The sequence below is a fragment of the Homo sapiens genome, chromosome X (assembly GCF_000001405.40).
Source record: "Homo sapiens chromosome X, GRCh38.p14 Primary Assembly".
NCBI classification, from domain to species: Eukaryota; Metazoa; Chordata; class Mammalia; order Primates; family Hominidae; genus Homo; species Homo sapiens.
The window spans coordinates 98,003,152-98,024,978 of NC_000023.11; the positions used below are offsets into that span (position 1 = coordinate 98,003,152).

The window sequence follows — 21,827 nt, forward strand, 5'->3', positions numbered from 1 at the left end:
ATACACTCACCAAAATGGTAAAAATTCAAAATACCTAATAGCAACTGTTGGCAAGCATGTAGAATAATTGAAGCTTTCATATATTGGTGATGGAAGTGTAATTTTATGCAGCAACTCTGAATAAATTTAGTTGATACTGTTTGGCATCTTCTTAACATATGCTAAATATATTACAGAAGCTTATATTAGAAAAAGTTAAATATATGGTTATCCTATGACCCAGAAATTCTACTTCCACATATATAGCCAAGAGAAATGAGTGGATATGTTCACAAAAAGACTCATAAAATAATGGTCATTTTGCTTGGTACAAGTGGAAACCTTGTTTCAGATTAGCAACAGTTGAGGACTTACATCTTGGTATTATTGTTCTACTAGTATCTCAGCCTTCAATCTTTCACTTCTTCAATCTAAACAAAATAGTTTTGTTTCCTTACATTTTCATTCATTGTTCTGCTTAAAATCCTTCAATGGCTCCCAACTGTATAAAGCAGTGGCTTTCCACTCTGGCTGCAGTTAGAATAACCAGGGAGCTTTTAAAAATGGCCTTTACTCATCATAGCTCAATAAATCAGAATCTTGGGAGGGTGGTGTTCGGGTACAGGCATTTGTTTCTTAACTCTACACTTTACAGTATCATGCACCAAGAAGAAACACACACTCAATTACTTAGTATCTGAACGGTTTCTCCATGCTGCTATGTTGCTCCCTCTTGTCTTATCTTTCTTGGGAGCTATTAGCCTTCGTACAAGACTCAGTTTAAATATAATCTCTTCGTGAAGCCACCACCTATTTCCACTGTCCCCAAGCAGAGTTAGATTCTTCATAGCCACCTCCTATAGCATCTATCACTTACTATTGTAATTATAACAGAGCAAGAGTTTCATCAGGCAGGTCCTGCACTTTATTTATATTTTTATCTCTAGTGTCTAGTAGAGTGTACAGGACAACGTTCAATAAAACTTGAATGAATGAATAAATGAATCTCTAATTGTGAGACTTTGCAGGAATAAGTCCCCTGATTGCCTGCAGTTAATTTAATAGAACTGGCTATCTCCTAAAAAAGAATTTATGTACTGAAAACGTGTGGGAAAATACAAAAATAGAAATCAACATGGGTTAAGAAGTTCATTCAAGCAAGGTAAAGTTCAATGAAACATACATAGAATAATCCTTCAAAAATATTACATGCAATTGTGTAAAAACTACTTGCAGCAAATATGGTATTCTTGGTGAAAGTAGGGAAAGCAACGATAGATACTGCATACATCAAAAGTATTATGTTGACATCAATGAGAGCTTCTTAGACAAAGCTGACTCCTGTGTGAAGGAAGCCTGTGGAAAGATAATTCTGAAAATTTTACATCCCTTGAGAATGATTTCTGAACATCACTTTTGAACAAAAAATTGTGTAAAAATTGAAGGACAAAAATCAGACATAGTTTCTTTTTACAATTTCTCCATTTTCCCCACTGCAGGATGGATTGCAGCAAAAGGAGATGAAGTAAATGGGCAGTCTACGTAGGATGAAAATGGAGTGTGCTTCTTTTTCTAAGCCCAGCAACTCAGGATCCTTTACTGATTTGTAGAATGATTATAAGCACTGCCACAATCAAATCTAGCAGAAGGTAATTCTAACAGAGTCTTTTGAAGAGATGATCTTAACAAATATTTACCTCATCATTTGGTCATTTGATGGAAACAAAACAGAATCATTTCACTCATTCTAATCTGGTGCCGAATTATCAAGGTAAGGAGACAACCTAAACTTTAATGCTTCCTTTGGCAGTATATGCAGTCATAGAATAAATTCTCTAAATCCAAAGCAATACTCTAGCACTATAGATTCCTTTAAAATTCTTAATCGTACATAGCATTGCTAAATTTCCTTACTTATACTGTGTAAGAATATGCCCTGCGCTTTTTTGTCACTGGCAATGCTTTAAGAAAACTTGTGAAAGGATTTAGTATCCTGCTTTGAAGCTTTAACACAAACTTGGGGACTGTGAGGATTACTGCTGCTGCTGATGGCAAGACTAGAAAAGTATCATATTTGTCTCCTTGTCCTCACTGACTCTCTGGTAAAATTTTTCAGGCTTATTTTTTATTCTTCCCTTTGTCTTTCATTTTTTTCCACCTTATTGTTCCTGGGTATGGGCTCTTGCAAGGCTCTGTGAGACCCACTCCATTTTATTCTGGAAAACACAAAGAATAAGGTGAATTGTTCATTAATCTGCAGCACTTTCACAATCACAACTCCAGCTTTCCAGTTTTATTGGGCACCATATAGCCACTGTGCTGTTTTGATAGGAGGCATATTGAGTATACTGGTTTGACCCAGAATATTATTGCCACAGCTCTCTGACAGGGATTCGTATTGCACTATCTCTCCTTGTCATTTCCAAAGCAACTTTTGCCACATGGGGGTGAAGACTGCAAGGTTAGGATGCTTTTTTTCCTGAAAACTTGACTGCACGCTTTTCAGTCTATGGCCTCACTGCGAAGCAGCGTGGATTAGTATCTTGACATAACCCATTCAGCATTCGCTTCTAGTTCTTCCAGTGAAATTCGTAGCCATTCTTCATTTGTTATTTAATTTTCCATGGTTTTAAATTAAGTTATTGAAGAAAGACACTACTCAAACACAGTTTTATGTATTAGAAGCTTCATTTCTGTTTTTAAAATGTTTGAATACATTTGCTTAAATGTCAAAAACAGAAATAGAGAATTGCATAGTATTCTGATCAACATATCAACTGATGAAATCAGTTTCTTTGTTATTTTGAGGGAATGCTGTATGTAAGGTATTGTATCTTTGAGCCAAAGGATTATTTTTATTCTTAATCTTGATAGTACGATGTTATGAGCTATCCCTGGGGTTTTGGGAAGTGCGGAGTGTAAGGTTGTAAAGTTGCAGAATATGAAAATATAAATGTATATATGTTACCTTTTCACACTTTGCAAACTGGCATCTACTCATTGCATTTTTTGGCCCGTAAATGGGTTATTTCCTTATTACATTAGTCTTGTAGTTCTTAAGTATGATAGAAGGTAGTCACCCCAGAAGAAAAAAAAATCCATATACAATGATTCCTTCCAACTTTGCTGACAGACTATTCTTTAACTTTTCCTTAGTTTTGGATTCTGACAATGCCAGTCTATCCCTATACGGGTCCAGGGAGAATAGTACTTTTTAAAATGGGGTCAAGATAGAAGTAAGAATTCTCTAGAATCTCAGATTGCAGAAGTGTGAAGGTTTGAAGGCAATTAAATGCCACTTTGCACCATTTTTAATACTGCCATGCACAAAATGAAAAGGTTAGCTAGAGAAATTGTTTTACTTGACCTCATTAATACCTATTCTTCGTTTAAAGTGCTCTGAGGTATTGGTCACATGAAGTATGACTTGAATTACCATGATTTTTACCTATCACTTACAGAACATTTCAACAACATAACTTGCCTTTCAGCTCTACTTGAGCAATAATGCTAAAGCATTGGAAGGTATACATTGAACCAAATACCGTTGTGGGAGTAGATTCTCATGCTATCAATAAAATGGATAAAGGATTCAGAATTTCATGTCAGAATTCAAAGCTATGTGATTATGTGCATTTGATTCTGGTAAGTGTAAATGACAAAGTCCAGACATTTATTTTACAACTGCAAAATAAAACTAGTGGATTTTGAAAGATTTTGTGATCCTCTAACTGGTGAATTACCCTATCAAATATTTTTCTTATTTATAAAGTGTGGCAAAATAGCCTCTGTCTAACATTTCCCAGAACTAAAAACAGCTAATCTTTACAGATAATAATCTGCTTATAAAAAATGCAATGTCTTACTGTCTTGACATATAGCATCCAGTGTAAGGTAAGCTAAGGGGAAGTACCATGCTGGAAAAAGTCCATATTTTCACAGATGAAATAATTTTTTAAATGGTATTTCAGATATAGCAGGGTTATATTTTTTAGTGTACCCTATTTTATAGGCCCTAGAATCAAAACACTAAGCCCACATATATATTTGTAAATAGCAGGGAGATAGACAGATTATTTTAGCCCAGTTAAATTCAGGTGCCCTACTCTAATAGAAGTAAACTTAAGCACAGCTTTGTACTCCTTTCTTTTAGCTGTAACTTGATACCTATAACATTTTCATTTAAATTATTTCACAATACACAGGCAGAAACTTTCTTGCTAAGTATGAAACTGCCAAAACCAGGCTCTATAAGTTCACACTTTGTAGAGGATGTTAATTGAAAGTGAAAACCCAAAACAATGCAGCTCAATTAAGCTCTTGAAGAAAACATGGAAATCACAAATCAGGTAGGCCCTGTGAAGAAGGCAGAGATTTTACCACTTTAAGCTTTGTCTTTTCTTCCTTCGTCACATTTTTGAAGTGGGTTCTAAAAAAGTGTTTCTCACTAAGACACTTCATCTTTTTGAAGGTTTTGGAAAAATGTCCCATGTTTTAAACTGATCATCACAAATTATCAATTAGATTTGTAGATACTGATGATTGACAGCTTCTCTATATACTATAAAACAGGAGTTTGAAACATAAAACTAGTAAGAAGAATGGTCTGACTCAGCCAATCAGAATTATAAATTATTTGTTTTGGTGATATTCGATGCAATGGCTATAATAGAACTTATCTGAAATATTATCATGATTCAAAATGCCTTGAAATTTTCAACTTATTCTTGGAAACATTTGGGGAGTTCTGACTTCAAGTTTCATTTATTGTTAGCGGAGGAGTATGCATTCTTACATTTTGAGTGGCCAGTTTTTTAGGTGTTGTTAACTAACAAAAACTATATCTCGTATGTGTAATAACACCACAATATTTATTTTCACAGGGGCTAAAGATAGAAAGATTCAATAGCCAAATGAGCTACATTAAAAAAATTTATGTAACACTGAAAAAGTTTAGAATCCTCATTAGAAAACTGAGCAGATCTGATTATTAAAATAAGTATATTTTCTTCTAGATATTTTTATCAATTTTTCCATGCTTATGGGCAAATATTGTTTCCCCAGATACATTGTTTGAAATAAAGATTTTTAGCACAAAATCTTTGTGTAAAGTTCTGAAACTTTTTTCAATTCTAACCCTAAAGAGGGAAATACCTCTGATAGCATACTGAAAAATGTGATCTAACTTTAGGAATAAGTAGCGAGATTTTAAATACTATTAGTTAAATTTAATTCATCGTTTTTTAATATTCTTTGTTCCCACTACCAACACTTTTCTTGTTTTTAAGCTCCAGATCTTTTATTCTGCTGAAATCTAATTTACATAGAGTGAAAGACGCAGATATTAGGTGTACAGATCAATCAGTTTTGACAAATGCTTCCTATAACTCACATACTTACTCATATATATATAGAATACTCCCAAAACCCCAAGAAAGTTTTTTTGAGCCATGTCCCAATTAATCCTTGACTGTCCCCCTGAAGCAACTATTGCTCTGATTTCTTTCACTATCGATTAGCTTTGCATGTTCTAGAATTTCATGTAAATCAAATCATATAGCAAGAGCTCTTTGGTGACCATTTTCTTTTGCTAAGCATAATATTTTTGAGATTCATCCATGTTGTTGCATGTATCAAGAATTCATTCCTTTTTATTGTTGAGTAGAAGTCCATTGTATACACATCTCACAATTACTTTATTGTCCCGTTGACACACATTTAGGATGTTTTTAGTTTTTCCTATTTTGACTAAACCTGCTATGCATTTTCTTATATGAGGCTTTTTGTGGATATATTTTTTCATTTCTCTTGTGTAAATTTCTTGGAGTGAAACTACTGGGTCATCAGAAAGGTATCTTAATCTGTTTGTGCTGCTCTAACAAAATACCATGGACTAGATAATTTAGAAACAATATAAATTTATTCCTCACAGTTCTGGAAGCTAGGAAGTTCAGGATTAAGGCACCTGCAGGTTTGGTGTCTGGTGAGGGCTACTCTCTGCTTCCAAGACGGTACCTTGTCACTTCATCCTCCAGAGGACAAATGCTGTATTCTCCCATGGCAGAAGGAATGGAAGGGCAAAAGGGGACAAATGCTAATTCCCTCCAGCCCTTTTATAAGGCTGATAATCCCATTCATGTGGGCTATGCCCACATAATTTAATTACCTCCTAAAGGCCTCACCTCTTAATACTATCACACTGGCCATTAAGTGTCAATATATGAATTTTGAGGGACACTTTCAGACCATAGCAGAGGGAATATGTTCAACTTTATAAGAAACTGCTAAACTGTTTTCATACTGGTTTAACATTTTATTTATCTGCCAGCAGTGTTTGAGAGTGTCAGTTGTTCCACGTTTGCTGACATTTGGTATAGTCAGTGTTTTAAATACTAGCCATCTTGGTGAATATGTAGTGGTATTCCATCACAGTTTTAATTTGTACTGGTCAACTGTTACCTAATGACGTTGAGTACTTTTTCATTGTGCTTATTGACCATTTGTATATCTTCCTTTGTGAAATGTCTGTTCAAGCATTTTGATCATTTATTGCTTGATTTATCTGTGTTTTAATAAGTTGAAGGTGTCTTTTATATATACTAGATTTGAGCCGTTTTGATATGGTTAGGCTTTGTGTCCCCACCCAAATCTCACCTTGAATTATAATTCCCATAATCCTCACATGTCAAGGGAGAGAACAGGTGGAGGTAATTGAATCATGGGGTCAGTTTCCCTCCTACTGTTCTCATGATAGCGACTTCTCATGAGATCTGATAGTTTTATAAGGGGCCCTTCCCCCTTTGCTCAGCACTTCTCCCTCTGCCACCTTGTGAAGAAGGTGCCTTGCTTCCCCTTTGCCTTCTGCCATGATTGTAAGTTTCCCGAGGCCACTCTAGCCATGTTGAACTGTGAGTCAATTTAACAACTTTCCTTTATAAATTACCCAGTCTCAGGTATTTCCTTATAGGAATGTGGGACTGGAATAATACAGTAAATTGGTACTGCAGAGTGGGGTGCTGCTGAACAGATACCCGAAAATATGGAAGCAACTTTAGAACTGGGTAACAGGCAGAGGTTGGAACAGTTTGGAGGACTCAGAAGAAGACAGGAAGATGTGGGAAAGTTTGGAATTTCCTAGAGACTTGTTGAATGGTTTTGGCCAAAATGGGGATACTGATATGGACAATAAAGTCCAGGCTGAGGTGGTCTCAGAGGGAGATGAGGAACTTCTTGGGAACCGGAATAAAGGTGACTCTTGCTATGTGTTAGCAAAGAGACTGGTGGCATTTTGCCCCTGCCCTAGAGATCTGTGGAACTTTGAACTTGAGAGAGAAGATCTGAAATAGGAACTTATGTTTAAAAGGGAAGCAGAGCATAAAAGCTTAGAAAATTTGCAGCCTGACAATGTGGTAGAAAAGAAAAACCCATTTTGTGAGGAGAAATTCAAGTTTGCTGCAGAAATTTGCATAAGTAACAAGGAGCCCAATGTTAATCACCAAGACAATGGGGAAAATGTATCCAGGGCATGTCAGAGGTCTTCACTGCAGCTTCTTCCATTACAGGCCCAGAGGCCTAGGAAGAAAACATGGTTTCATGAGCTGGGCCCAGGGCCTTGCTGCTTTGTGCAGTCTCAGGATTTGATGCCTTGCATCCCAGTTGTGGATAAAAGGGGCCAACGTACAACTCAGGCTGTGGCTTCAGAGGGTGCAAGCCCCAACCCTTGGCAGTTTCCATGTGGTTTTGGGTCTGCTAGTGCACAGAAGTCAAGAATTGAGGTTTGGGAACCTTTGCCTAGATTTCAGTGGATGTATGGAAATGCCTAGATGTCAAGGCAGCAGTTTGCTGCAGGGATGGAGCCCTCATGGAGAACCTCTGCTAGGGCAGTGCAAAAGGGAAATGTGAGGTTGGAGCCCCCACACAGAGTCCCCACTGGGGTACTGCCTAGTGGAGCTGTGAGAAGAGGGCCACAGTCCTCCAGACCTCAGACTGGTAGATCCACCAACATGATGCTTGCATCATAGCCTGGAAAAGCCACAGACCCTGAATGCTGGCCCAGGAAAGCAGCCAGGAGGGCGTTTTACCCTGCAAAGTCACAAGGGCAGAGATGCCCAGGGCCAGGGGACCCCACCTCTTGCATCAGTGTGACCCAGATGTGAGACATGGAGTCAAAGTAGATTATTTCAGTGCTTTAAGATTTGACTGCTCTGCTGGATTTTGGACTTGCATGGGACCCGTAGCCCCTTCATTTTGGCCAATTTCTCCCATTTGAAATGGGTGTATTTGCTCAATGCCTGTACACCCATTGTATCTAGGAAGTAACTAACTTGCTTTTGATTTTACAAGTTCATAGGTTGAAGGGTCTTGCCTTGTCTCAAATGAGACTTTGGGCTTGGACTTTTGGTTTAATGCTGGAATGAATTAAGATTTTGGGGGACTGGTGGTAAGGCATGATTGGTTTTGAAATTTGAAAGGGAGATGAGATTTGGAGGGGCTGAGGACAGAATGATATGGTTAGGCCTTGTATCCTCACCCAAATCTCATCTTGAATCATAATCTCCATAATCCCCACATGTCAAGGGAAAGAACAGGTGGAGGTAATTGAATCACGGGGGCAGTTTCCCTCATGCTGTTCTCGTGATAGTGAGTTCTCATGAGATCTGATGGTTTTATAAGGGGCTCTTCACCCTTCGCTCAGCACTTCTCCCTTCTGCCACCTTGTGAAGAAGGTGACTTGCTTCACCTTCACGTTCTGCCATGATTGTAAATTTTCTGAGGACTTCCCAGCCATGTGGAACCATGAGACAATTAAACTTCTTTCCTTTATAACTTACCCAGTCTCACATATTTCCTTATAGCAATGTGAGAATGGACTAATACACCTTTATTAGTTATGTGTTACAACTATATTCACCCCATCTGTAGTTTGACTATTCATTTTTTATTGTTATCTTTTAATGAAAAGAAGACTCTGATTTTCTTGAATTCCAATTCCAATTTATCCTTTTTTTTTTTCTTTTTTAGTTAACAATTTCTGGATACTGTCAAGAAAATATTTTTCTACCACACCATTGTGAAGAGATTCTCCTATGTTTATTCCTAGATGATTTATAATTTAACTTTTATGTTTAGCTCTATGATTCATCTAGAATATATATGTATGATATGAAGTAGGAGCTGTGTGTCATTGTTTCATACATGTGTCCAGTTATTCCAGCATCATTTGTTGAAACAACTTTCCTTTATCCATGGAATTGTCTTGGTGCCTTTGTAAAATATCAATAGGCTGTACAAGTATGGATCTAATATAGTCTATATTATCTTCCATTGATTGATCTGTCTGTATTTAACCTACTACCACGCTGTCTTGATAGCTGTAAATTTATAATAAGCCTTGATATCAGATAGCATCGGTCTTCCAATTTTGTCTTACCTTTTTGCAAGATAGGTTTGGCTGTTTTGGGTCATTTGCTTTTCCACATATATTTTAGAATTAGGTTCTCTTTTGGTTTAATAAAAAAGGCTGCTGGGATTTCAATTAAGATTACATTGAAACTGCAGATCAATTTTTGGAAAACTGACACGTTAACCCTATTGAGTGTTCTGATCCATAAACACTGCCAGTCTTCCGGTTATTTAGGTCTCCTTTAGTTTTTCTCAGCAATGTGTTGTAGTTTTCAGTGTAGAGGTCTTGCACATATTTAAATGAGTTCACTTCTAAGTATTTTATCTTATTGAACTTATTGCAAATGTTAATATTTTTAATTTCATTGTTAATTGTTGCTAATATATAAATATAATTGCTTTCTGGATATTGCCTTGTATGACTTTGCTAAATTCACTTATTAGTGCATGTGGCTTTTCTGTAGATTTCTTGGCATATTCCACAGGCCAAATTATGTCATTTTCATATACAGGCTGTTCAGTTTTTTTCCTTTTCAATATTTTTGGTTTTTATTTTTTTCCTTGCCTTATTTCACTGGCTGGGGCCCCCAGTAAAAGCAGACTTCCAGAACTTGCTTCCAATTTTAGGGGAGAAGCATTCAATCTTTTGCCATTGAGTTTGATACTAGCTATGTGTTTTGGTATATGTCTTTTGTCAAATTGAGGGACTTTCTCATTCTTGAGTTTTTACTACAAATGCCTGTTGAATTTTGTAAAATGCTTCTTCTGCATCTATTGAGGTGATCTTGTATTTTTTTTCTTGATTATTCTCTTTCAAGTGTTGAATTGCATTGACCTATTTTCTCCTGTTAGTCCAACCTTGAATTACTGAGATAAATCCTTCTTGATCACAATGTCTTATTGTTTTTCTATCTTGCTATATTCAATTTATGGATATTTTGTTGTTAAGGATAATTTGTATGTATATTTATAAGGAAAATTAGGTTGTGGTTTTCTTCTAATGTCTTTGCCTCACTAATAGCAGGATAATACTCACCTTATAAAATGAATTGGGAAATGTCACTCTTCTATTTTCTGACAGAATTTATATAATATTAATATTATTCCTTGTTTAAATATTTACTACAACTTACCATTAAAGCCATGTAGAAACATTTTAAATCACCACATCATCTTATTTGTTAGATATATATCGATTTCAATAAAACAATTATTGTATCAATCTTTGTAATTTGTGTCATTCAATTAATTTGCCCATTTTATCAAATTGTAACATTTATTGTAATCAAGATGTTCATAAAACATCCCAATATCCTGGCAATATCTGTAGGATTTATAAAAATGTTCTCCTTTCTTGTTTGTTATCGATAATTTGTGGGTTTCTTTTTTCCCTTTCTAGTCTACCTAGAGTTTATTAAATTCAGGGGCTTTTCATAAAATAACTTTTTTTTTTTTGCTTTGATTTACTCTATTGTCTGTTCCTTTTCTGTTTTATTCATTTCAGCTGTAACTTTATAAGTCTTTTCTTCTACTTTTGAGTTTTAATTTAGTCATCTTTTTCAGCTCATTTAGGAGTACACTTAATTGATTTGTTTTTCAGATTTTATGTTAGATTTAGGGGGTATATGTGCAGGTTTGTTACTGTGGTATATTGCATGATGCTGAGGTTTGGGGTATGAATGATCCCATCACCCAGGTACTGAGAATAGTACCCCCAAAGTTAGTTTTTCAAACTTTGCCCCCTCCCTCCTTCCTTTCTCTAGGAGTCCCCAGTTTCTATTGTTGCCATCTTTATTTCCATATGTACCCAATGCTTAACTCCCACTTGTAAGTGAGAACATGTGGTACTTGGTTTTCTGTTTCTGTGTTAATTCACTTAGGATAATGGCCTCCAGTTGCATCCATGTTGCTGCAAACGACATGATTTCATTCTTTTTATATACTGCATAGTATTCCATGCTGTATATGTATTACATTTTCTTTATCCAATCAACCATTGATGGGCACCTAGGTTGATTCCATGTCTTTTTGCTATTGTGAATAATACTGTGATGAATATGTGAGTGTATCTGTGTTTTTGGTGGAAGTACTTGTTTTATTTTGGATATATACCCAATAATGGGCTTGCTGGGCTGAGTTGAAAGTAGTTGTGTTTTAAATTCCTTGAGAAATCTCCAAACTGCTTTCCACAGGGACTGAACTAATTTACATTCCCACCACCAGTGTATAAATGTTCCCTTTTCTCCATAGTCTATCCAGCATCTGTTATTTTTTGACTTTTAATAATAGCTATTCTGACTGGTGTGAGATGGTATCTCATTGTGGTTTTCATTTGCATTTCTCTGATGATTAGTGATGAGGATTTTTTCATATGTTTGTTGGCTGCTTGTATGTCTTCTTTTAAGAAGTGTCTTTTCATGTCTTTTTTACATTTTTTAATGGCTTTATTTGTTTTTGCTTGTTGATTTGTTTAAGTTCCGTATATATTCTGGATATTAGACCTTTGTTAGATGCATAGTTTGCAAATATTTTCTCCCATTCTATAGGCTGTCTGTTTACTCTGTTGATTGTTTCTTTTGCTATGCAGAAGATGTTTAGTTTACTTAGGTCCCACCTGTCAATTTTTGTTTTTGTTGCAATTGCTTTTGAGGACTTAAGTCACAAATTCTTTCTAGAAGTCCATGTCCAGAATGGTGTTTCCTAGGTGTTCTTCTAGGAGTCTTATAGTTTCAGGTCTTACATTTAAATATTTAATCCACCTCGAAATTAATTTTTGTATACGGTGAAAAGTAGGGGTCCAGTTTCATTCTGCTGCATATGGTTAGCCAGCTATCAAAGCACCACTTATTGAACAAGCAGTCCTTTCCCCATTCCTATTGACTTTGTTGAAGATCGAATGATTGTAGGTTTGTGGCTTTATTTCTGCATTCTGACACTGGTCTATGTGTCTATTTTTGTACCAGTACCATGCTGTTTTGGTTACTGTAGACTTATAGGATAGTTTGAAGTCAAGTAAGGTGATGCCTCCAGCTTTGTTGTTTTTGCTTAGGATCACTTTGTCTATTCAAGCTCTTTTTTGATTTCACATGAATTTTAGAATATTTTGTTCTAGTTCTGTGAAAAATGACGTTGGTAGTTTAATAGGAATATCCTTGAAACTGACTGCTCTGCGCAGTGTGGCCACTTTAATGATATTGATTCTTCCAGTCCATGAGCATGAAATGTTCAAACAAACATTTATTTCTCCCAGTTCTGGAGGCTGAGAAGTCCAGGATCAAGGTGCTGGCAGATTTGATGTCTAGTGAGGGCCTACTTCCTCACAGACAGTACCTTCTCACTGTGTCATCACATGGTGAAAGGGGCTAGCTAGCTCTGTGAGATCTCTTTTATAAGGCCACTAAGACCAAACACAAAGGTTCCACCTTCATTACCTAATCACCTCCCAAAGGCCCCACTTTCTAATACCATGACCTGGGGTGTTTAGGATATCGACATATAAATTTTGAGGGGATACATACATTCAGGCCATCACAGATACAGTATCCTGTAAATATGAATTTGATTACCTTGGTTGATAGTGTTATTCAAATAATGTATACCATAACTGACTTTTTGTCTAGCTGTTCTAGTAATTATTGAGAGAGGAGTGTTAAAGTCTCCAACTACAATTGTCAATTTGTCTATTTATTCCTATAGTTCTATCAGTTTTTCTTCATATATTTTGAAGTTCTGCTATTAAATGCATATACACTTAAGAATTTTATGCCTTTTTGATATATTGACAGTTTTATCAACATGAACTATATCTTTTTTTCTTTAGTGATATTTGTGTCCTGAGGACTACTTTTTCTGATATTTTCATATCTACTAAAACTTTGTTATGAATGGGGCTTGCATAGTATGGTAATTTACATTTTTTACTATAATCTTATCTTTGTCCTCAGGCTATTTATTATTTTCTGAAGCTCTGAGTTTCTAGCTGGTACTATTCCTTTCTTGTAGTTTCTTATAGTTCAGGTCAACTTTATTTATTTGAAAATGTCTTTTAATTTACCTTTATTTTTGGAGGATATTTTCACTGGATATCAAATTCAAGATCAATAGTATTTATTTTCCCAAATGTTTAAATATGTCAGTTCATTTTCTTCTGTCTTCCCAAATGTTTAAATATGTCAGTTCATTTTCTTCTGTCTTGTATCGTTTCTGATGAAAAAAATCAACATTCTTATTATTGTTCTTTATGTAGTATATCTTCTTTCTTTATATTTGATTTCAAGTAATTGTATTATGATGTCCATAGGTGTGGTTTTCTTTGTGCTTACCTTGCTTGAACACCTAGGATCTGTGGATTTATATTTTTCATAAATTTTGAAAATTTTGCCCACTATTTTTTCAAACACTTTTTCTGTCCCAATCCTTCTCCTCTTATTCTGAGAAACCCATTATTTGTGTATTTGACTACATGATAGTATCACTCAGGTCACTGAAAATGTTTATTTTATTTTTTCAGCCTTTATTTCTTTCTGAGATTTCATTTGTAAGTTTTGTTGCCTTGTCTTCAAGTATATTGGTCTTTTCTTTGTTAGTGTTTAATCTGCTGTTAACCACATCTATTGTTTTTTTATTTCAGTTTTGTACTTTTCATTGATCAGATTTCCATTCGGTTCTGTTTTGAAAGATTGCTTTTTCCTACTGAAATTTCTCCATCTTATATATGTCCTTTTCTTTAAATCCTTGAATTTATTTATAATAGCTCTTTTAAACTATTTTTTGCAAATTCTAACATCTATCTCATTTCTAGGTGATTTCTATTGATTGATTTTTTTCATCATTTTGGGTCACATTTTCATGTTTCCTCAAATGCCTGGTATTTTTTAAATTACGCATTAGACACTGTCAATGCTATAGTCTTAAATTTCTTTTGTTATAGTCCTTTAGGGCATATTGAATTTTTGTTTTGGCAGGTCATTAGTTGTGCATCAGCTGATTTCTTGTTCTAGAGTTGAAATAGCCTTGTACCTTAGATGTGATTTTTTTTCAAGTCTCATCAGAATGTTAATGTAATTCAGTAATGTCTCTTCTATCTGGTTGGTTATAACTTTAATGACTGCTAATACTTCACAAACTCGAATCTCTATTCAGTTCATGGATCCTCAATAGTTGTTTTCCACTTTGTATATATATATATGTAGTCTAGTATTCATCTAAATATTTATTGTGTCCCTTCTGTAAATTTCTGGAGCCTCTTCATTGTTTAGTTTCCTCTTGTCTGTTATTCTGCCTCAAAAATTCCAGCCACCTACTCAGTACCTAACTCTAAACTCTATTTCTTCAGCTCAGCAAGACTGCCATGCTCTGGGCTCCACCTCCCTGTGACGCAACCTGGAAAGTGCCTCTTGGTAGAAAGCTAGGGAAATAATTAGCCTCACCTCCTGTTTTTCTCTTCTGTCACTAACTGTTACCTGTGCTGCCTATTTAGCAATAGCTGGAAACTATTGTTTCATGTATTTTTTTCAAGTTTTATAGTTATTTACAGTAGAAGGGAAAGTCTAGCACTAAGTAGTCCATCATGGCTAGAATTGGAATTACAGTCCCACCAAGTTTTCTAATCTGAGCAATGTCAAACCTAAAGAAAAGTTGAAAGAAGAGCATGCATACACTTAACTTAAATTTACCAATTATCATCTTGCCAAATTTACTTCATCTATTTTTAATATATACTTATTATCTATTATTTTGCTGAACCATCTGAAAAAGTTTTAGATAGCATGAAACTTCATCTGTAAACATTTCAGTATGTGTCTCTTGAGAACAAGGAAGTTATCTTAAATAACTACAATACCAGTATCACATCCAAGAAATTTAACATTGTTCAAAAAATATTATCTAATAGTATATATTCAAGCTCCCCCAGCTGTTCTTCTAAAGTCCTGTAGAGCTTTATTTTTAAACCTAGGATCTATTCAAGAATCACTTACTGTGTTTGAAAGTTATATCTTTTTAGCTTCCTTTGATATGAAATAGCCCTCCTTGCCTTTTTATCTTTTATAAAATTGACATTCTTAAAGAGTTCGGGTCATGTATGTCAGATTGTATCCTCATGAATAGATTCAAGTTAAACATTTTTGGCAAAAAAAAAATTCACAGAGTTCCGTATACTTTCCATTTGTATATTATGAACAGCATATATTCTCAGTTCATTTCTTTCCAAGTCATGCTAAGTCTGATCATTTGTTTAATGTTGTTCATGCCAGAGTTTTTCAGTGTAAGGTATATTTTCCTCTTTCTAATCAATATGCAATCTGTGGGGCAATGCTTTAAGACCATGTGATTGTCCTGTTCAACATTCTTTCACCGAATTGTTTTAGATCCACTGATAATTCTTACCTGAATCAGTTATTACATTAGGAGTTACAAAATGGTGATTTTCCTAATTCCATAATTTCTTCTACATTTATTATTTAAAATTGTTTTGTAATGAAGACTCTCACATTAGCTTTATCTTAGAAACATTTTTGAAACCTAACTAAATGATAAACTCAGGAAAAAAATCCTTAGTATGTATTTTATTAGTGTCACTGATCCAGCATGACTGCTACCACTTTAGGGATTTAAACTGAGTTCCCCAGTCAGGCACATTACTTTATAAAAGTGATATAGAATGTTACTCCATCGAGAAAGTTCCCTCATGTCCTTTCCCAACCCATTCAATCCCCATCCCCTAGGGACAACCACTGTTCTTGTTTTTCTTACCACAAATTAGTTTTTCCCATTGTAAAATTTCGCACAAATGGAATAATATAGAACATTATTTTTTGTGAAAGGCTTATTTCACTGATAAACATATGTTAAAGATTTATCCATGCTGCATGTATCAATAGTTTCTTATCATTGCTGAATTGTATTCCTTTGTATTTGCACACCAAAGTTTGTTCATTAAGTTTCCTATTAATGGCTTTGCTCTTTCCAGGTTTTGCTATTATAAATAAAGCTTTTATAAGTTTTGTATCAACAGACTCTAGGGTGGTTCCCCTGTGGATCTCAACTCCTGGTATTCATGTTCTAGTATTACCAACTCACTTTGAATGTAGGGAATTCCTGTGACTTGATTCTAACCAACAGAATATAGAAAAGGTGATGGAATATGACTTTCATAATTTTGTTATATAGATCCCTATCTTGCTAGTAGACTCTTTCTAGAGACTCTCTCCCTAGCTAGCTTGGAATAAGTAAGCAGCCATGTTGAGAAAACCACATGGCAAGGAGATAAAAGCAACCTCTGGCCAACACTAAGCCAGAAGCTGGGACCCTGAGCTCCACCACTACAAGTGTATTGTTTAATTTTCATGTGTTTGTTTAGTTTCCAAAATTCCTTGTTACTGGTTTGTAGTTTTATTTCATTGTAGCCAGAGAAGATGCTTTATTTTATTTCAATTTTTTAAATGTTTTCGGACTTGTTTTGTGACCTAACATATGTCCTGTCCTCGAAAATAATCTATGAACTAAGGAGAAGAATGTGCATTCTGCAGCAGTTGGATGAAATGTTCTCTAAATATCTATTAGTTCCGTTTGTTCTATTGTGCAGATTAAGTCTGATGTTTCTTTGTTGAGTTTTGTCTGAGACATCTGTCCAATGGTGAAACTATGATGTTGAAATTTCCAGCTATAATTGTATTGGATTCTATCCCTCTCTTTAGGTCTAATAATATTTGCTTTATACATTTGGGTGCTCCAGTGTTGGGTTCATTTATCTTTACAATCATTAAATCTTCTTGCTGAATTGGCCCTTTTATCATTATATAAGAGACCTTTTTTGTCTCTTCTTACAGTTTTTGTCTTGAAATCTATTTGGTCTAAGTATAGCTATTCCTGTTCTTTTTTGGTTTCCATTGGTATGGAATATCTTTTTCCATCCCTTTATTTTCAGTCTGTTTATCTTTATAAGTGACATGTTTCTTGCAGGCAACAGATCATGGCATCTTGTTTTTTTATCCATTCAGCCACTCTATGTCTTTTGATTGAGGAGTTTAGTTTATTTACACTCAATGTTATTATTGATAAGTAGGGAGTTACTCCTGTCATTTTGTTGTTTTCTGGTTGTTTTGCAGTCTTCTCTTCCTTCTTTCCTTCCTTCCTTTTAGTAAAAGTGATTTTCTCTGGTGGTACGTTTTAGTTTGTTGCTTTTTGTTGTGTAGCCATTTTTTTTTTTTTTTTTTTTGACAAGGACTCACTTTGTCACCCAGGCTGGAGTTGCAGTGGTGAGATCACAGCTCACTACAGCCTTGACCTTCCAAGGCACAAGGCACAGGTGATCTTCTTGCCTTAGTCCCCTGAGTAGCTAGGACTACAGTCATGTGCCAACATGCCAGGCTAATGTTTGCATTTTTAGTAGACATGGGGTTTTGCCATGTTGCCCAGGCTGGTCGTGAACTTCTGGGCTCAAGCGGTAAGCCCACCCTGGCCTCTGAAAGTGTTGGAATTACAGATGTGAGCCACTGTACCTGGCCATTTCAATTTGAGATTACCATGTGGCTTGCAAACACTGTGCTATAACCCACTGATTTAAGCTGATGATAGCTTAACACTGATAGCATAAAAATTACAAAAATATGCAATAAGAAAACTTATAAAAACTCTATACTTTGTCTTCTTGAGTTTTAACTTTCCATTGTTTCTCTTTATGTCTTATTGTACTATCTATGTCTTGAAAAGTTGTCATAGTTATTATTTTTGATTGGTTCATCATTTAGTCTTTCTACTTCTGAAAAGTAATTTACACACCACATTTATAGTGTTTTAGTATTCTGTGTTTTTCTGTGTGCTTATAATTACCAGTGAGTTTTGTACTTTTGATGATTTCTTATTGCTCATTAACATCCTTTTCTTTCAGATTGATGAAGTCCCTTTAGCATTTCCTGTAGGAGAGCTCTGCTGTTGATGATATTCCTCAGCTTTTGTTTTTCTGGTAAAATATGTATTTCTCCTTCCCGCTTAAAGAATATTTTCACCAGATATACTATTCTAGGATAAAGCTGTTTCCTTTCAGCACTTAAAGTATGTCATGGCACTCTCTCCTGGCCTGTAAAGTTTCCACTGAAAAGTCTGCTACCAGAAGTACTGAAGTTCCACTGTACATTATTTGTTCCTTTTCTCTTGCTGTTTTTAGGATCTTTTCTTTATACTTGATCTTTGGGAGTTTGACTAAATGCCTTGAGGTAGTCTTCTTTGGGTTAAATTTTCTTGGTATTCTATAACCTTCTTGTACTTGAATGTTAATATCTTTCTTGAGGTTTGGGAAGTTCTCTGATATTATCCCTTTGAATAAACTTTCTATCCCTATCTCTTTCTCTACTTTCTCTTTAAGGCCAATGACTCTTAGATTTGCCCTTTTGAAGTTGTTTTCTAGGTCTTGTAGGCATCCTTCATTGTTTTTTATTCTTTTATCTTTCGTCTCCTCTGACTGTATATTTTCAAATAGCCTGTCTTAAAGTTCACTATTTTTTTCTTCTGCTTGATCAGTTCTGCTATTAAGAGACTCTGATGCATTCTTCAGTATGTCCATTGCATTTTTCAACTCTAGAATTTCTGCTTGATTATTTTTAATTATTTCAGTCTTTTTGTTAAATTTATCTGATAGAATTCTGAATTTCTTCTCTGTGTTCTCTTGAATTTCTTTGAGTTTCCTCAAACAGCTATTTTGATTTCCCTTTCTGAAATGTCATATATCTCTGTTTCTCCAGGACTAGTCCCTGGTGCCTTAGTTGGTTCATTTGGTGAGGTCATGTGTTTTTGGATAGTGTTGATGCTTGCTGATATCCTTCAATATCTGGGCATTAGGTATTTACTTTAATCTTCACAGTCTGGGCTTGTTTGTGCTTGTCCTTGTTGAGAAGGCTTTCCACGTATTTGAAGAGACTTTAGTCCCAAGCCTAATCATGCTGTAGTTTTTGCAGACTCGTAGAGGTACCACCTTGATGGTCTTGGAAAAGATCTGGAAGAATTCTCTCAATTATCAGGTAGAGTTTCTTCTTCTTTTCCCTTACATCATGCCAAACAAATAGAGTCTCTCTTTCTCTCTCTCTCTCTCTCTGTGTTGAGCCATGTGGAACTGGGGGTGTGGTGATGCAAGCACCCCTGTGGCCACCACCACTGGCACTGTGCTGGGTCAGACCTAAAGCCAGCACAGCATTGGACCTCGACCAAGGCCCTTCCCTTCATGGTGGCAAGTTTCCCCAAGCTCTGGTCATGTCCAGAGATGCTGTCTCAGAGCCTCAGATTGGAGTCATTAGCAATTTAGTTAATGTTCTATTTTACTGTGTCTGAGCTTGCCCTCAAACCATAGTGCAAAATCCTTCCTGATCTTCCCACCCCTTTCCACAGGCAGAGGAGCCACCACCACATAAGTCAATGTTGGCTACCTGGACACTGCCAATGTTTGCTTAAAGCCCCAGGGCTCTTCCATCAGCTTGTGAATGCTGCCTGGCCAGAGACTCACCCTTCAGGGCAGTTGACTCCCCTTTTGTCAAGGGCTAGTCCAGAAATGCTGTCCAAGAGCTTAGACCTGGACTCGAGGACCCCAAGAGCCTACTTGTTGCTCTACCACACTGTGGCTGAGCTAGTATCTAGGGTACCAAAGTCCCCTTTACTTTTCCCTCTGCTTTTCTCAAACAGGAGTCTTTTATTATAGCCATCACAGCTGGGAATGTGCTATGTCTCCCCTGAAGCCGACCCATAGCCCAAGGCCCACAGCATACTCCCTAGGTATCACTAGTGGTTAGTTATTCAGGGCCCAAAGTTTCTTTAGTTAGCAGTTGATGAATGCTGCTAGGACTGGGTTCCTCCCTTCAAGGGACTAGGTTCCATTTTTGCCCAGAGTGCATCTTTTGCTCACCTGATTTTTGGTTCTTGTGATGATGCTTTTCTGTGTGGAGATAGTTATTAAAATTTGGTGTTCCAGGAGCAGGGAGATGAATGGCATAGGCTTCTATTCTGCCATCATGCTCCACCCCTCTATTAACCAATTTTTATTTTGGTTGTTAGTCTTTTTATAATTAACTTGTAGGCGATATATATATATATCTAGATATATATCTATATATATATCTAGATATATATATCTAGATATATATCTAGATATATATCTAGATATATATCTAGATATATATATATATCTAGATATATATCTAGATATATATATATCTATATATATATCTAGATATATATATATCTATATATATATCTAGATATATATATATCTATATATATATCCTGAACACTAGTCTTTTGTGATTTGCAACCATGTTCTTCCAGTATTTGGCTTGCTTATTCATTTTCTCAATTGTATATTTTGTTGAGAATTTAACTTTTATTTTAAGTTCAGGGGAACATGTATAGGTTTGTTACACAGGTGAACACATGTCAGGGGGTTTGTTGTACAGATTATATAATACCCAAGTATTAAGCCCAGTACCCATAGTTATCTTTTCTGCTCCTCTCCATATTCTCACCCTCCTCCCTCAAGTAGACCCCAGTGTCTGCTGTTTTCTTCTTTGTGTTCATAAGGTCTTATCATTTAGCTCCCACTTATAAGTGAGGACATGCAGTATTTGATTTTCTGTACCTGAGCTTGTTTGCTAAGGATACAAGCCTCCAGCTCCATCCATGTCCCTGCAAAAGACATGGTCTCATTCTTTTTTTCATTCTTTTTTATGGCTACCTAGTATTCCGTGATGTATATGTACCACATTTTCTTTATCCAGTCTATCATCAATGGGCATTTAGGTTGATTCCATGTCTTTGTTATTGTGAATAGTACTGCAATGAAGATACACGTGCATGTGTCTTTATAATAGAATGATTTATATTCCCGTGGTTATATATTCAGTGATATGGTTTGGCTGTGTCCCCACCCAAATCTTATCTTGAATTTTAGCTTCCATAATTCCCACGTGTTGTGGGAGGGACCTGGGGAAAGATTATTGAATCATGGGGGCGGTTTCCACCATACTGTTCTCATGGTAGTGAATAAGTCTCATGAGATCTGATGGTTTTATAAGCAGAAGCCCCTTTTGCTTGGTTCTCATTCTCTCCCTTGCCTGTCACCAATGTAAGACATACCTTTTACCTTCCACCATGATTGTGAGGCCTCCACAGCCACGTGGAACTGTGAGTCCATTAAACCACTTTTTCTTCATAAGTTACCAAGTCTTGGGTATGTCTTTATCAACAGCATGAAAAATGGACTGATACACTCAGTAATCGGGTTGCTGGGACAAAAGGTGTTTCTGCCTCTAGGTCTTTGAGGAATCACCACACTGTCTTCCACAATGGTTGAACCAATTTACACTTCCACCAACAGTGGAAGTGTAAGCATTCCTTTTTCTCCAAAACTTCATCAGCATCTGTTTTTTTTGACTTTTTAATAATAGCTATTCTGACTGGTGTGA

The 21,827-nt window shown here is 35.8% G+C and overlaps 2 annotated features.

Moving 5' to 3' along the window:
- Nucleotides 7,311–7,811: an enhancer, noted in NCBI's record as "H3K27ac hESC enhancer chrX:97265460-97265960 (GRCh37/hg19 assembly coordinates)". NCBI's record gives its function as "activates a minimal SCP1, AML or CMV promoter by ChIP-STARR-seq in primed H9 embryonic stem cells {active_cell/tissue: H9 hESC(primed)}" and the evidence as "EXISTENCE:reporter gene assay evidence [ECO:0000049][PMID:30033119]".
- Nucleotides 7,812–8,312: an enhancer, noted in NCBI's record as "H3K27ac hESC enhancer chrX:97265961-97266461 (GRCh37/hg19 assembly coordinates)". NCBI's record gives its function as "activates a minimal SCP1, AML or CMV promoter by ChIP-STARR-seq in primed H9 embryonic stem cells {active_cell/tissue: H9 hESC(primed)}" and the evidence as "EXISTENCE:reporter gene assay evidence [ECO:0000049][PMID:30033119]".